Genomic DNA, 15,912 nt, shown 5'->3' with positions numbered 1-15,912 from the left:
TAGTTGTACTAGTGGACTCATTTTTTTTCATGGCCCACTGTTCTCAACTCTCTTGGGTATACACCTAGGAGCGGAATTGCTTGGTCATATGGTAACTCTATGTTTAACCTTGTAAGGAACTGCCAGACTCTTTTCCAAAGTAGTTGCACTATTTTACATTCCCACCAGCAATGAACAAGGGTTTCCATTTCTCCATATCCTCTCTGACATCTGTTACTATTTGTCTTTTTGATTAAAGCCATCCTAGAGGTGTGAAGTGTCTCAATGCACATTTGATGAGGTTGCTAATAACCTCCTGTCAATCTGTCCAGGGGTTTGGCTCACTTTGCTGGACTTCTCTGTGTGTCTGACACAGATGTCCTCCCTTCCTGGAATTTCTCCTCCTCTGGCTTCAGAGACTCCATCCCCTCCTCCTCTTCTCTCATCTTTCCTTCCCAGTCAGCTTCACCACCTTCCCTTCTCCACCTGCCCTTAAATGTGGTACTCTACTGAGCCTCTCCAGTGGTCATATTAATTAAGCAATCGTTAATCAGTACCTCTACCCTATTGGTTCCCAACTCTCCTTCTCTATTCAAGGCCTCTCATATACCATGGAATACTATGCAGCCATAAAAAAGAATGAGTTCATGTCCTTTGCAGGGACATGGATGAAGCTGAAAACCATCATCCTCAGCAAACTAACACAGGAACAGAAAACCAAACACCACATGTTCTCGCTCATAAGTGGGAGTTGAACAATGAGAATATGTGGACACAGGGAGGGGAACATCACACACCAGGGCCTGTCGGGGGGTTGGGGGTAAGGGGAGGGAAAGCATTAGGACACATACCTAATGCATGCAGGGCTTAAAACCTAGATGACGGGTTGATGGGTGCAGCAAACCACCATGGCACATGTATACCTATGTAACAAACCTGCACATTCTGCACTTATATTCCAGAACTTAAAGTATAATAATAAAAGAAAAAAGTAAAATAAAAATTTTTAAAAACCTGTAACTCTGACCACTCCCTGGACATCTCTACTGTTGGTTCACAAAAACTCCCATGCACAGGTTCCAAACAGAGCTTTTCATCCTTCTCCATAACCCTGCCTCTTGTCCTGCAAGCCCTACTTCAGAACATGGTGCCACCACCCAGGGCTATAGGCAGAAAACCTGGGAATTTGGAAGTCAACCAAATGCCGCCCTTTCCCTTACAAGACTGTGAACTTCTGGAGGACAGGCTTATATGTTTTGTAGCACTTGTCTGAGCATTCAGCACTGTGCCCAGCACATGGCAGCCACTCAAGAAATGCTGGCTGCTGAAATAAAGAACAAATGGGCTCATCAATTAAAGAATCAGAAAGACATCAAAACCATACAAGGATACAACAAAAAGAGAGTTACAGGCCAGTACTCCTGATAAACACAGATGCAAAAATCCTCAACAAAATATTATCAAACAGAATTCAACAATGCATCAAAAAGATCATTCACCATGATCAATTCACCATGGGATTTGTTCCAGGGATGCAAGGATGGTTCAACATCCACAAATCAACAAATGTGATACATCACATTAACCATACAGAACAAAAACCACATGATCATTTCATTTTCAACAAAGGTGCCAAGAATATACATTCTTCAGTAAGTGGTGCTGGTAAAACTGGATAACCATATACAGAAGAATAAAACCAGACCCTTCTCTCTCACCATACATAAAAATCAAATCAAAATGGATTAAATCTAAGGCATGAAACAAAGAAACTCCTAAAAGAAAACATTGGGGAAATGCTTTAGGACGTTGGTCTGTCTGGGCAAAAACTTTTTAGATGAGACCTCAAAACCACAGACAACAAAAGCAAAAATAGACAAATGGGATTACATCAAGTTAAAAAGCTTCTGCACACCAAAGGAAACAATCAACCAAGTAAAGAGCCAATCTGCAGAATGGGAGGAAATATTTGCAAACTATCCATCCAACAAGGATTAATAACCTGAATATATGAGGAACTCAAAAAAATCAATAGCAAAAACACAAATAATGTGATTTTTTTAAGGGCAAGAAACATGAATAGAAATTTCTCAAAAGAAGACATACAAATAGCAAACAAGTATATCAAAAAACATTCAACATCATTAATTATCAAAGAAATGTAAATGTAAACTTTTTTTCACAGACAACCGTTCTCAACTCTCTTGGGTATATACCGAGGAGCGGAATTGCTTGGTAATATGGTAACTCTATGTTTAACCTTCTAAGGAACTGCCAGACTGTTTTCCAAAGTAGTTGCACTATTTTACATTCCCACCAGCAATGAAAAAGGGTTCCCATTTCTCCATATCCTGACATCTGTTATTATTTGTCTTTAATAATTTGGAGTCTGTGACATCTGCCCCCACCACGGGAACCACAATAAGCTATCATCTCACCCCAGTTAAAATGGCTTTTATCAAAAAGACAGGCAATTGAGAATGCTGGTGAGGATGCAGAGAAAGGGAAATGCTCACAGTGTTGGTGGGAATGTAAATTAGCATAGCCACTACAGACACTACAGTGTTTGGAGGTTCCTCAAAACACTAAAACTAGAGCTACCATATGATCTAGCAATCCCCCTGCAGGGTAAATATATCCAAAAGAAAGGAAATCAGTACATGGAAGAGGTCTGCACTCCCATGTTTATTGCAGCACTACTCACAATAGCCATGGTACAGAACCCACCTGAGTGTCCATCAACAGATAAGCGGATAAGGAAAATCTTTTTTATATACACAATGGATATTATTCACCCATGGAAAAGAATGTAATCCTGTCATTTGCAGCAACATGGGTAGAATTGGAGGTCATTATGTTAAGTGAAAGCCAGACATGAAAAGACAAATACCGTGGCCGGGTGCGGTGGCTCACGCCTGTAATCCCAACACTTTGGGAGGCCAAGGCGGGTGGATCACTTGAGGTCAGGAGTTCGAGACTAGCCTGGCCAACATGGCAAAACCCCGTCTCTACCAAAATTACAAAAATTAGCCGGTGTGGTGGCATGCGCCTGTAGTCCCAGCTGCTCAGGGAGGCTGAGACAGGAGAACTGCTTGAACCCAGGAGGCAGAGGTTGCAGTGAGCCAAGATGGCGCCACTGCATTCCAGCCTGGGCAACAGAGACTCTGTCTCAAAAAAAAAAAAAAAAAAAAAAAAAAGACAAATATCGCATGTTCTCATTCATATGTGGGAGCTAAAAAAGTGAATCTCGTGGAGATAGAAAGTTGACTGGTGTCACCAGAGGCTGGGAAGGGGCGGGGGAGGGCAGGATGAAGGGAGGTTGGTTAATGGGTACAAAAATACAGTTAGATAGAAGAAATAAGATCTAGTGTTCAATAGTACAATACAGTGACTATAGTTGATAATAATGTATTACATAGCTCAAAATAGCTAGAAAAGAATTTGAATGTTCCTAACTCAAAAGATCAATGTTTGAGGTGATGGATATTTCTCTTACCTTGATTTGATCATTATGCATTTTATCAAAATATCACACGTACCCCAAAAATATGCACAAGTACTGTGTGTTCATTTTTTTAAAAGAATCAGAAAGACAATTACCAAGAACAGGTTCAATGTAATGTAATATATGAGTTGCTTAAAAAGAAAAAAGCATAGAACCTTTTAGAAGCCCAGAGGAAGGTGCAACTAACTCTGCCTGGCAGAATCAGGGAAGGCTCCCATAAGACAGGCCATTTGAGTGAGCGTTGAAAAAGGAGGCAAAGAAACAAGAATCCAAGCAATGTTTCTAGCCTGGGTCAAAATGCGGCAAGAGTAACTCTGGAAGGTCCCAGGCAGAGACTGGCCAAGTCCGCCTCTTTGGATAAAGAGCTGAGTGAGTGACAGGGGACACACAGGTGCCTGAAGGCAGAGCCATCTCCTAAAGCTGAGCAAAGCTCCTCCCTGCAAGGTAGGGCACTGAACAGCTGTAGCAGTGGAGGGGGTTGACAGACCCCGCAAGTCAGGCTGGGGTAGGGGTTTCCCAACAGTTACCATCGTGCCCGGCTGTCGCCCTGGCCTTCTGAGCCCGTGTGCAGGCGGGGGAAGAGCCCCGAGCGTCGCTTGATGGGACTCCGTGACTGGTTCTTCACCGTTGCCGCCACCACTGGAGGCTGTCGATGAAATTGCCAAAATGAGTGCTCCCGGCCCAAACACCGATCTCCTATCCCCTCATCCTCCTCCCTGGTCTACAAATGGCTCCTGGTCTGGAAGAGACCCCAGAAAATAGCAAGACAGCTAGGAAGGTTGAGATCTATGTAACTGAAGCTGAGACCTGGAGACTCAGGCCAGTCACAGCCTCCTTCCCTGTGTTAAGCCAAACCTTGTGGTCCCAGGTCATGATCCACCAAAGACCACAACTGTTGGAGGAACACAGGGCCAGGCCCACCAAATTGAGAAGGTCAGAACAATTCCGGGGGACACAGGCTGAGAGGCACAGAGCCAGGGAGGCCCTGGAGGGACCTGGTTCAACCTCTCACTTTACCGGCAAGGAAGCTGAAGACCAAAGGTCTTCCAGCAAATCACTGGCAGGGTGAGGACTCCTGACTCTCCTTCATTCCTCGCAAACAAATGGAGCCGCGCAGGCGTTCCAATAACAAGACAGGCTGAGAGCCGCAGAGCCAGGGCCACAGGCACCAATGGGCGGTTGGCGGCAGCCAAGACGCCTTCTGCTTTGGAAAGCTGCCTGGCCTCACAGTGGACAATGAGTGGTGGGGGTTTGAGGAGGGCAGATGGGAGCCTGGAACCAACCTCTAGAGGCCACCAAGCCTCCAACTCAGGCCCCAGCTCCTGCCATGCACATGTTATGGCACCTCAGGAGAGCAATGAGACCCGACCTGAGTCTCCTCATCCACAGGATGGAGATGAGGCCCTGCTCTGCTCACGCCATGCACCTTCAGGGGGAAGCAAGATAATAGCTAGGAAAATATTTAGTCAATTAAATTAATTATGCGAGGCCATTTATAATACTCATAATTAGTTCCATGGTGAGTATGTTCTGCTATTTTGAAGGAAAAGAAAGGAAAATCCTAGTCTATACAAATCCAAAGCCACTTTGCTTTAGTTACTTAGATTTGGAGACAGGGTCTCACTCTGACATCCAGGCTGGAGTGCAGTGGCCCAATTACGGCTCGCTAGAGCCTCAACCTCCCCAGGCACAGGTGATCCTCCCACCTCAGTCTCCCAAGTAGCTAAGACTACTGGTGCGTGCCACCATGCTCAGCTAATTTTTGCATTTTTTTGTAGAGATGGGGTCTCACTTTGTTCCCCAAGCTGGTCTCGAATTCCTGGACTCAAGGGATCCACCCTCCTCAGCCACCATGCCCGGCCCACTTTGCTTTATGAAAGGCCCAACTACATGATTCCCTCCCCTTCCCAGCCCCTGGTACGAGTCAATCAGGCCCAAACTCACAGGCCTGCAGGACCCTTCCCTTGGGAACTGTACACATGGTGATGAACAGCACAGACTTTGGATCCAGCAGAATCGCATTCAAATTCAGTTGATTTTGTGTTTTGTTTTGTTTTGTTTTTTTGAGACAGTCTCGCTGTCACCCAGGCTGGAGTGCAGTGGCATGATCTCGGCTCACTGCAAGTTCCACCTCCCAGGTTCAAGCAATTCTCTGCCTCAGCCTCCTGAGTAGCTGGGATTACAGGCACCCGCCACCACGCCCAGTTAATTTTTGTATTTTTAGTAGAGACGGGGTTTCACCAAGTTGGCCAGGCTGGTCTTGAACTCCTGACCTTGTGGTCCACCTGCCTCAGCCTCCCAAAGTGCTGGGATTCCAGGCATGAGCCACCACGCCCGGCCTCAAATCCCAGCTCTTAAGCTTAGCTGAGTGGCCTCTAGCAAGTTACTGAGCCCCAGCGGGCCTCCTTTTCCTCAAATGGGAACAGGAGAACACATCAGCACCCATCTCGGGCAGCTGCTATGGGAAGCAGGTGAGATTGTGTCTACAGGTTACTCAGCTCAGTGCCTGGTACACAGTAAGCTGGGGTGGCTACTGCTGCCATTAATAATAACAAAGCAAGGACACCCCTCTCACAGTCATGGGTCCCGAGCCCCTGAGCAGCAAAACACACCCCAGGACCACACTGCAGGGCTGGCCCCGAGGAGGAGGTCTAGCTGTCAAGGAAACTCAAGAGAACAGGACAGGAGGGCTTCTAGCACCATCTGGGTCAACCCCGGGTGCTGTCTAGGATGGAGGCTCCAAAGGACCGTTTTCAGAGGTCAGGGGTCAGGGTCACCCCCAAGCAGCCTCAGTTTCCCACCATCATCCAGCTTGCCCTGATCAAGTCACCTGCCCAAGCCTGGGTGGGGGCACTCTTCCTCCATAGGTCTGGGGGGGGCCTCCCTGGGACCCACTTGCCGCCCCGGGGCCTGCCAGCACTCACCGAGAAGGTGGTCTTGGTGACCTCCATGCTGTTGTGGGAGATGCCCCCGCTGAGGCTGCCAGGGATGCCCCCACTGTGCGACTTCTTCTGGCCGCCCACCATGGTCTCCATGGAGTGGCTGCGTACGCGGATGGCCCTCTACGGGGAGAGAACAAGGGCCTGAGAATCAGCACCCGGGCTCTCCGGATGACTCTGCCCTCCTCGTGGGGTCTGTAGACACAGCCCTCAGCACACGTATGCGTGCACACATACACACACACACACACACACACACACACACACGGTCACAGAGGCCCATACTAGTTACTCCAGCTTACAGAGGATGTTTCCATATTCTGCCCCACACTCTGGGCATGGGTGGAGGCAAGGCACAGCCCCGGCTGGAGGGAATCTGAGGGGTCAGCGCCCCAGCTCCCCTGCACGGTGGACAAAGGTTATTATCTTCATCTTACAGGTAAGGAAAATGAGGCTTGGAGCTCGCCAAGCCTGTGCGACACTGACCTAGTTACTAACCTCTCTAAGCTACAGCTTCCTCATCTGTAAAATGGGAATTCTATGTTTCACACCCAGCATCGTGGTGGGGATTCAACACACTCAGGTGTCTGACCACAAGTTGACTCTTTTCCAGAAAACTGAGCCTCCATCTGTAATAAACACTGGATTGTATCCCAAAGTGTGCTCTGGGCAACTTGGAATATGCTGGCCATGGGTGCAAGTGTGTGAGGGTCTCTTACTCATCTGTGCATCAATCCATGCACTGAGCCGCCCCTCCCACTTGCAGGGGCTTCAGATCCGCCTTTGTTACGGCCCCTGGTCTGATGGAGGTGCTGAAAGAGATGCACCCTCAGCCTGGCAGAAGTGCAGGGTCTCGGGGGGCACGGAGCTGCTCAGGCCACCCAGGAGCAAGGGGCACACTGGCAAATGGTGAAGTACCCAGGAGAGGACCACCAGGGAGGTCAAGGCTTTGTCAAAGTACATGTGAGAGTGAGAACAGCTAAAAACCAAGATTACTCAGCCACGGGAGGGATGGACCCGGGAAGGCACAACCACCCCTCAGAGTGCTGTGTTGAAGCAGAGCTCGGCTCCACCTCAGGGGGGGATTTCCTGACAAAAGAAGTCCCAGGGGACTCTGGCTGCCCCCTGGATGATGCTCTCTCTGGCTCCAAAGGCCTTCAAAGATGGTGTGAGAATTCTAGGAAGAGAAGGTTCTCTCCAGTAACCCTTTGATCATTCCATCAGTCACTGGATCTGGCCGGGCAGGAATGCAACTCAGCAGTCAAAAGCATGGAGGCTTTAGGGTTTCACTGCCAGGATTTGTATCTGGGCTTCTGGGCCCTCTACTCCAGCACGCATTAGCTGAGTAACCCCGGGCAGGTGACCCAGCTTCTCTGAGACTTAGAGTGAAAGAGATGTTGGTGTCTACACCACAGAGTAGTTGTGAGAATACACACAGGGCTCTGAGGAGACAGCCCAGCACATCGTAATGATCTGATAAGTGTGGCTACTCTTACGGTTAATAACAAGCACCTGCTGCAGGCTGCTCACGTGCCTAGCACTGTGCCAGGAACTGGGAGACCCGCAGCAGGAAAGTCGAGATGTGTAGGACATGGCCTCTGCCTCTGAGGAATGCCCAAGACATATTCCTCACATTGGGCGATGCTGAAAGACCCAGAGCCTGTGGGGTGCTCCTTCTGGATTAATCAGTTGTCCAGGCTTCTGCAAGGGCAAAGACTCCTGGACACGAATATTATCTGTTGTTCACATACAAGTATCAACACCTCTGCTCCCTGAGCTCCCCACTGGCAGAGCCAGGTTCTAGCCAAACGTGTCCTCCTCCTCCATGGGACGCAGGATTAAGTCATGATCTGCCTAAGGCAGTCAGTTAGCCTATCCTCTTGCCAGTGGCAGAGGAGGGCATATCCACTGGGTGCGCTGGGGAAAGGTTTTCTCAATGATTCCCAAAAAAGATTTAACATGTCAGCAGTGTTTTGTCAGCAGACAAAACCATGACAATGATCTTAGGGCCACGAGGGGCCAAGCCTGAGGGACAAAGCTGACAAGCCAGGGAGGGCAGAGGGGAAAGACGAAAGGAATCTTGATGCTGACTGAGCCACGAGTCACCCAGCCCTCCTTGGACACCAGCTCATGAATTTTCCTTATCGTAGTGTGAGCTAGTCGAGGGAGGCTGCTCTCAGAACTCCAGCTTCAGAAAGCTGATGCAGAAGGACTAAGGTGTGGGCCCCGCTCCCCTTCCCCTCTGGATTCACACCTGTGCACACCTGTACAACTGTGTTGGCTCACACACCCCATGTGTAACCTACAGATGGTCTCATGTGGACAACCTCCCTTCCTCTTTTGAGCCATCTTTTTTTTTTTCTGAGACAGAGTCTAGCTCTGTCACCCAGGCTGGAGTACAGCGTGTGGCACGATCTCAGCTCACAGCATCCTCCGCTTCCCAGGTTCAAGAGATTCTCCTGCCTCAGCCTCCCGAGTAGCTGGGACTACAGGCGCCCGCAACCATGCCTGGCTAATTTTTGTATTTTTAGTAGAGATGGCGGTTCACTGTGTTGGCCAGGCTGGTCTTGAACTCCTGACCTCGTGATCCACCTGCCTCAGCCTCCCAAAGTGCTGGGATTACAAGCGTGAGCCACCACGCCCAGCCTTGAGTCATCTTAGGAAGAGCTGGGTCTACAGCAAAGTGGTCCCAAGAAAATGGCAGGGCTGCTGCTCCTGACCCAAACAACAGGTCTCCCTGGGCTCTCTGGACGTCAGGATTTCTCCAAGCTTGGGAAGGGCAAAGAACCCCATCCTGCCTGCTTTTCTATCCTGACAAGGGATGCAGACTCAGGAGGGCCATTTGTAAACCGGACAGCCCCCTAGATGAGCTACTGACAGTGAGGTGTGTAGCCCACCAGCTTCATACCCCTGATTTGATCGGGCATCTCTTATCTGAGTCAAAGATGCCCCTGGAGGGACATCTCTCACTCCCTCTCTATACCATAGAACAGGGTCACCTAGCAACAGTTTTCCTACCGCATGGTTAAAACAGTCAGCGCGTTCTATTTACCCCGTCACGCAAGCATCATAAAGCCATGTACCCTTTGAACAACTGAGGGCAGGACAGGGGTGGTGGCACACTGAGGTGTCCCTGGAGGAGCGGCGAGCTTCCTTTTTTAAAATAAATAAATAAATAGAGACAGGTTCTTCCTGTGTTGCCCAGGCTGGTCTCAAACTCCTGGGCTCCAGTAAGCCTCCTGCTTTGGCCTCCCAAAGTGAGCCACCAAGCCTGGCCGCAGCCAGGTTCCATGAATGAGTTAAGTGCTCCATAAATCTCAGCATCTCGGCCAGGGGCGATGGCTCACGCCTGTAATCCCAACACTTTGGGAAGTGGAGGCACGTGGATCACCTGAGGTCAGGAGTTCGAGACCAACCTGGCCAACATGGTGAAACCCCATCTCTAATTTTTGTAAAAAATACAAAAATTAGCCAGGCATGGTGGTGTGTGCCTATAATCCCAGCTACTCGGCAGGCTGAGGCAGAAGAATTGCTTGAATCCAGGAGGCTGGGGTTGCAGTGAGCCGAGATCGCACCACTGCACTCCAGCCTGGGTGACAGAACGAGACTGTCTCAAAAAAAAAAAAAAAAAAAAAAAATCAGCATCTTTACATTCTCTTGGTGCCCTTGTGCGTTGACAACACCATCATCAATCATGACATTCCAAACTAATCATTTATATTCTGCAATCCAGTCCAGCACCACACAATGACACTGCAGTCAACAGACTGCATAGATGACACTGGTCCTATTAAGATTCTAATACTATATTTTTACTGTACCTTTTCCATATTTAGATGTTTAGTATACAAATGCCTGTCTTTGTGTTACAATTACCTACAATATTCAGTAAAGGAACCTGCTGCACAGCTTTGTAACCTGGCAGCCACAGGCTCTATAGCCGACGTGTGTCCTAGGCTCGACCATCCAGGTCTGTGCTGGCAGCCACGCGCCCTATAGCCAACGTGTGTCCTAGGCTAGACCATCCAGGTCTGTGCTGGCAGCCACACGCTCTATAGCCGACGTGTGTCCTAGGCTAGACCATCCAGGTCTGTGCTGGCAGCCACGGGCTCTATAGCCGACGTGTGTCGTAGGACGTATTCCCGTCATTTCTCAGGACGTATTTCCCGTCGTTGAGTGACACGTGATTGTATTCCTCCCTGTCTCTTTCCCAGAAAGGATTCCATGTGGGAAATAGTAACTCCTGTGTAACAGTATCTGGTCTCATGAGCTTCACATACAAGATCTATTGAATCTCTACAATTCTGAGATGCAGAGAGGACAGGCATTGGACAGAAAAAGTTCTGAAGGGTAAATTATTGCCCAAGCCCACATAGCAGGTAAGAGATAGAGCCAGGATCCAAACCCAGAACCCTGGGCTCCAGATAAAAGGGTCCCTGTATATTAAAAACTGGTCCAGGTTGAAAATACAATTCAACTGGTGGATGACTGAAGGATGATTAGAAACCACGAATTTTCAAGGCTCCCACCAAAAAAAAAAAAAAAAAAAAAGAAAAGAAAAGAAAAGAAAAACTCAGAGGCTGGTGTCAGGGAGGACACTGGCTCCTCAATTAGTCCTGGTGCAGCCGCCGGAGTCAGCAAGGTAAGTGTGAGGAGGCGGCAGGCTGGGTAAGTGTGAGGAGTCAGCACCGGGTCTTCTGTCCCTCTAGCGGGGCAAATGCAAGACAGATGCCAACTCTGCTCCAAGAGACCATGACTCCGACCCAGGAGTGGAGCAGGGCCAAGCACAAGGCCTGAGCTCTCTCGTGGACCCCCAAAACAGCGGGGCCATCCTGACATCACAACTCCCCATCAGGAGGAAAAGGAGGGGGCAAAGACGCCAAAGACCAAGGATTCTTGGCGGGGCCCTGCTGTGCTCCACCTGCCATCACTGGCACTGCTAGGGGGACCGGCTTACAGGTACCTCCCTGCAGGTACTGCGGGGCCACAAAGACTGCCAGGGATAGCTGTGGCCCCTCCTGCCACTAGGGGTCAGGTCAGACCAAGGCATGAACTATCACAGTCCCTCAAAGGCTGGGAGAAATGAACCTGGCAACTCCCAGCTTGCCACGGTCCCGGGTCCATCACAGCCAGCCCGGCAGCCTTCTCCTCCCCGGTCCTCTGCTCCACCTCTGTGCGATGAGGTCAGTGGAGGGCTGGGTGAGCTCAGCATTTCTCAAAATGTGGCCTGCACGTGCTCTACGTCCATCTGACGTCGGTACAGCAAGTATCATCACTTTTCATTGCATTACGGACCAATAACAACCTCATCAACAGCTGGCAGTAACTGAGAATGGCACTGGAAAATGGTCTAGAGATCAGCATCGTTCAAACATAACGTACAGCTCTTTCATCGTGAAAGCTGTTCTCGCAAGACTCCCGAGAATCTGCTCACAGACCCCCAACCCCAGTGGCCCCATGGGCTGCGTATGCAGTGCTGACTTCAGGCCTTACCTATTTACCCTATAGGAACATCTCTTAATTTGGAGTGATCACTGCAAACTTTAGGTTTGTTTTTTTTTTTTTTTTTTTTTTTTTTGAGACACAGTCTGGATCTGCTGTGCAGTGGCGCAATCTCAGCTCACTGCAACCTCCACCTCCCAGGTTTGAGCAATTCTCCTGCCCCAGCCTCCCAAGTAGCTGGGATTACAGGTGTGCACCACCACGCCCATCTGATTTTTGTATTTTTAGTAGAGACAGGGTTTCACCACGTTGGCCAGGCTGGTCTCGAACTCCTGACCTCAGGTGATCCACCTGCCTCGGCCTCCCAAAGTGCTGGGATTACAGACGTGAGCCACCGCGCCCAGCCAAACGTTCAGTCTTTATAATTGGAAGGTTTTTTTTTTTAGATCTAAGTGAAAATGCAAACTTTAGAAGTGTTTGTAGAACCAGCAGATTCCTGAGACTATCTCCAAGCAGTTCAGCTTGAAAAGTAGGTCTAGATGTCCAAAAGCCAACTGTTCTGTGTCTCATGGGAGAAACGCTTCCATTACAGCTGGGAGGACAGAAGTGAGCTGTAAGGAACTGCTCCAAGCGGGGTGAGGTGCCAGGCGGCACAACACAGGGCAATGGCAGGCCTGCTGCTCAGGAGAAAGATCAAGGGTCAGTGCTGACGTGGGGGAGCAGCAGCCTCACCAGGGGCAAGGATGGATGGCTGAGATGGCTTTCAGCCCTGGGGATTCTCAGTTATGCTCCCATCAGCCTGGGAAATGAGAACTTTGACAGGAAGGAGGCCGGGCGCAGTGCCTCACGCCTGTAATCCCAGCACTTTGGGAGGCCAAGATGGGCGGATCACCTGATGTCAGGAGTTCAAGATCAGCCTGACCAAGATGGTGTCCCTACTAAAAATACAAAAAATTTAGCCATGTGTGGTGGCGGGCACCTGTAATCCCAGCTACTCGGGAGGCTGAGGCAGGAGAATCGCTTGAGCCCGGGAGGCAGAGGTTGCAGTGAGCCGAGGTCGCACCACTGCACTCCAGCCTGAGCCTGGGCAACAAGAGCAAAACTCCATCTCAAAAAAAAAAAAAAAAAAAAACTTTGACAGGAAGAGATAAAGGCCTGTAACTTTTCTTCCTGGAACATTTCAGGTATCACTTGTTTCAAGAGCGATCCCAGGAAGGTGTGGGTGAACTCCCTAAGCAACGTCCTGTTGACACAGCAGCACCGCCCAAGGTGCCCAGGAAAAAAAAATACCAAAACTAGGGATGGTTTCCTGAGCTGGGCCAGACACACAGGCCTGGCCACAGGCATGGCCTAAACACCAGAATCCACCCCAGGCCCCAGGGCTCCATTCGGCTGAGCCTGGCCTGTCCCCAGCTCAGGCCTCCATGCTTGGGAGATGTGAGGGCAATGACGAAAGGGACAGGGAACAGGAGCTCGTGCTCCCCAGGTGGGAGGGAAAAAAGCTGGTCACAAATGGCCGGGCGCGGTGGCTCACACCTGTAATCCCAGCACTTTGTGAGGCTGAGGTGGGCGGATCACCTGAGGTCAGGAGTTCGAGACCAGCCTGGCCAACATGGTGAAACCTCGTCTCTACTAAAAATACAAAAAGTTAGCCGGGCGTGGTGGCGGGCACCTATAATTCTAGCTACTCAGGAGGCTGAGGTAGGATAATCACTTGAACCCGGGAGGCAGAGGTTGCAGTGAGCCAAGATTGCACCACTGCACTCCAGCCTGGGTGACAAAGCAAGACCCTGCCTCAAAAAAAATTAAAAAATAAAAAAATTTAAAAAAAATCTGGTCACAACCGTCAGGGCCCTGAAGCTTACTCTGTGTGACTGTCACAGTCTCTCCCACGCCCCACGGTGCTACCTCAGGTAGGTGTGAGAGCAGAATCTGGAAGCAGGCCTGTCTTCAACCTACAGTTGCAGGGTTTTAGTATTGAAAAGAATTCCCTGGATCACTGGATCAAAGATGAGTCGTGATAAAGTCTTAAAGTGTTTCCTCTCTTGTAAGCCCCTCTAGGAATACGTCAGACCCCCTCGAGTCAAGCACAGATCAACTGCGACTCCTGCCAGAGGCGGGGGACTGGACAGAGCGGCCTCAGGCCACTCTCTTTATACCTGCCACCTGTATTTAGCTGCTGGACCACCTCCTCCATTGGGCACCATGGGCAGAGTGTCCACAGCCTACAAGCATCTCCAGGATATAGAAATACTTGAAACCTGAAAAACCAATTAACTCCAAAATACTACAAGAAACCTGCAAAACTCAAAACAAGTGCTTCATTAAATGTCTACAAAATACAACATTATGTTGGCTCCCCAACTGCAGCTCAACTTTTCTTTTTTTTTTTTTTTTTTTTTTTTGAGACAGTCTCGCCCTGTCTCCAGGCTGGAGTGCAGTGGCGTGATCTCGGCTCACTGCAACCTCCGCCTCCCGGGTTCACGTGATTCTCCTGCCTCAGCCTCCTGAGTAGCTGGGATTACAGGCTCACGTCACCACGCCCGGCTAATTTTTGTATTTTTAGTGGAGACGAGGTTTCACCATGTTGGCCAGGATGGTCTCGATCTCCTGACCTCGTGATCCGCCTGCCTCGGCCTCCCAAAGTGCTGGGATTACAGGCGTGAGGCACGGCACCTGGCCTCACCTCTTATAGTTCTGCATAAATTACATTTACTGAGGGATGCAGAATGTTTTGATACGTGGGCTATGGAGTGTGGTGGAGCCTCTGGAAGGAAGTCTAGAGCCTGTGGAAGGCTTAATGTGGTGCCCCCCTTCCTGCCTTCCCCAGACCCAAGCCCGTTTTCCTGTTTACCGCATCTCACACTCTCCATTCTCTCGCTGGGTTGTCTGACCTGGCGCCCTCTCTCCTCCCGTTCCTCTTCTTCTGCATCCCTCTTCCGTCTTGATCTCCCAATTTCTCCTATTTCACCCGGGCTCCCACTGTCCATCAGCACTGAAACAGGTGCCCCAGGAATCACCCACCAGCCTGGACAAGCAGCTCAGCTCCTTTTCCCAACCCCAAGAGGCATCTTGGCAGCTGGCCCCAACTAGGGTAGGAAGAGCTGTGCCCTGCTCTCTGCGGTCCAGCCGGGCAGTGGGGGACTGACCCCAGGCCTGCCCGGGCCCAGGCTAGTGCGGGTGGAATCTTAACAAAGTCAGGAAGTGGGAGGTGGTGTCGGATTTGGAATCCGGCGGACCTGGATTCAACTCCACCTGCTCCCACAAATGATTCTGTCTCTTTGAGGCTTGGTTTCCTCCCATATAATACTATGCCTATCATTATTAAAACTGAGTATGAACTATTATACCAAAATTATTACACCCCAAATAATAGCCTTCCTCACAGGGCACTGAGGGCAGTTGTGAATCTCCAGGTGGGATAATGTGTGTGAAGCTTTCACTTTATACAACTGTAATAACAGCTGACATTTTTGAGCATTTACTATATTCCAGGCAATCTGGACTTTTCCAGGCATGGTATCAATGAACTCGCACAATGGCTCTGACAGGGGTCCTGCTTCCTATCCTTATGTTGTTGACAAGAAAGCTGCACCTTAAGAGGCTTGAAAGACTGCCCAGGATCCCACAGAGCTGCGGTTTTAATAGAGGTGGGTGTAGCCCTACACATAATTCCCCATAAAGTCCCACACATAATGCCCCCAGATGGGAGTTTCCAAATCACCTTCTAACAGGCAATCCAGCAGCACACGGACCTAAGAATCAGAAGACCTGCGTTTGAAATGAGGCTCTAACTCTGCCTCGGTGTAAGGACCTGAGCAGGCCTGTGGCGTCTCTCATCCTGTCCCCACGTGTGTTCGTGAATATAACAAGACCCGTTCCGCCACCTGCACAGGCTGACAGCCAGGCTCGAGCCAGATGCTGGGTCTACGTGCTGCGTGGACCAACAAGCACTCAGCAAGCATAAGATGAAAAACCTCTACCACACGCCAGCTCGGGGGCCGTCCGAGCTCCACTTGAATACTTCCAGGGACAGGGAGCTCACTG

At 49.8% G+C, this 15,912-nt stretch overlaps 1 protein-coding gene across 15 annotated transcripts in view, besides 1 other annotated feature; it reads right to left on the bottom strand.

Annotated features, from left to right (window-relative positions):
• The window catches only part of RAP1GAP2 (RAP1 GTPase activating protein 2), a 282,097-nt gene that overhangs the window by 13,135 nt on the left and 253,050 nt on the right, over positions 1-15,912 (bottom strand). For all 15 annotated transcript variants that reach the window (XM_047435668.1, NM_001411048.1, NM_001438816.1 and 12 more), the window contains 2 exons: positions 6,409-6,546; positions 4,012-4,130 (listed from right to left, as the gene is read on the bottom strand). In XM_047435668.1, the coding sequence (XP_047291624.1) occupies positions 4,012-4,130; positions 6,409-6,546 (257 nt within the window). The remainder of the gene's footprint in view (positions 1-4,011; positions 4,131-6,408; positions 6,547-15,912) is intronic.
• Positions 13,327-13,828: an enhancer, noted in NCBI's record as "H3K4me1 hESC enhancer chr17:2914073-2914574 (GRCh37/hg19 assembly coordinates)". NCBI's record gives its function as "activates a minimal SCP1, AML or CMV promoter by ChIP-STARR-seq in primed H9 embryonic stem cells {active_cell/tissue: H9 hESC(primed)}" and the evidence as "EXISTENCE:reporter gene assay evidence [ECO:0000049][PMID:30033119]".

This window comes from Homo sapiens, chromosome 17 (assembly GCF_000001405.40).
Source record: "Homo sapiens chromosome 17, GRCh38.p14 Primary Assembly".
In the NCBI taxonomy this organism is placed as follows: domain Eukaryota; kingdom Metazoa; phylum Chordata; class Mammalia; order Primates; family Hominidae; genus Homo; species Homo sapiens.
This window is presented reverse-complemented; position numbering and strand designations above follow the sequence as displayed.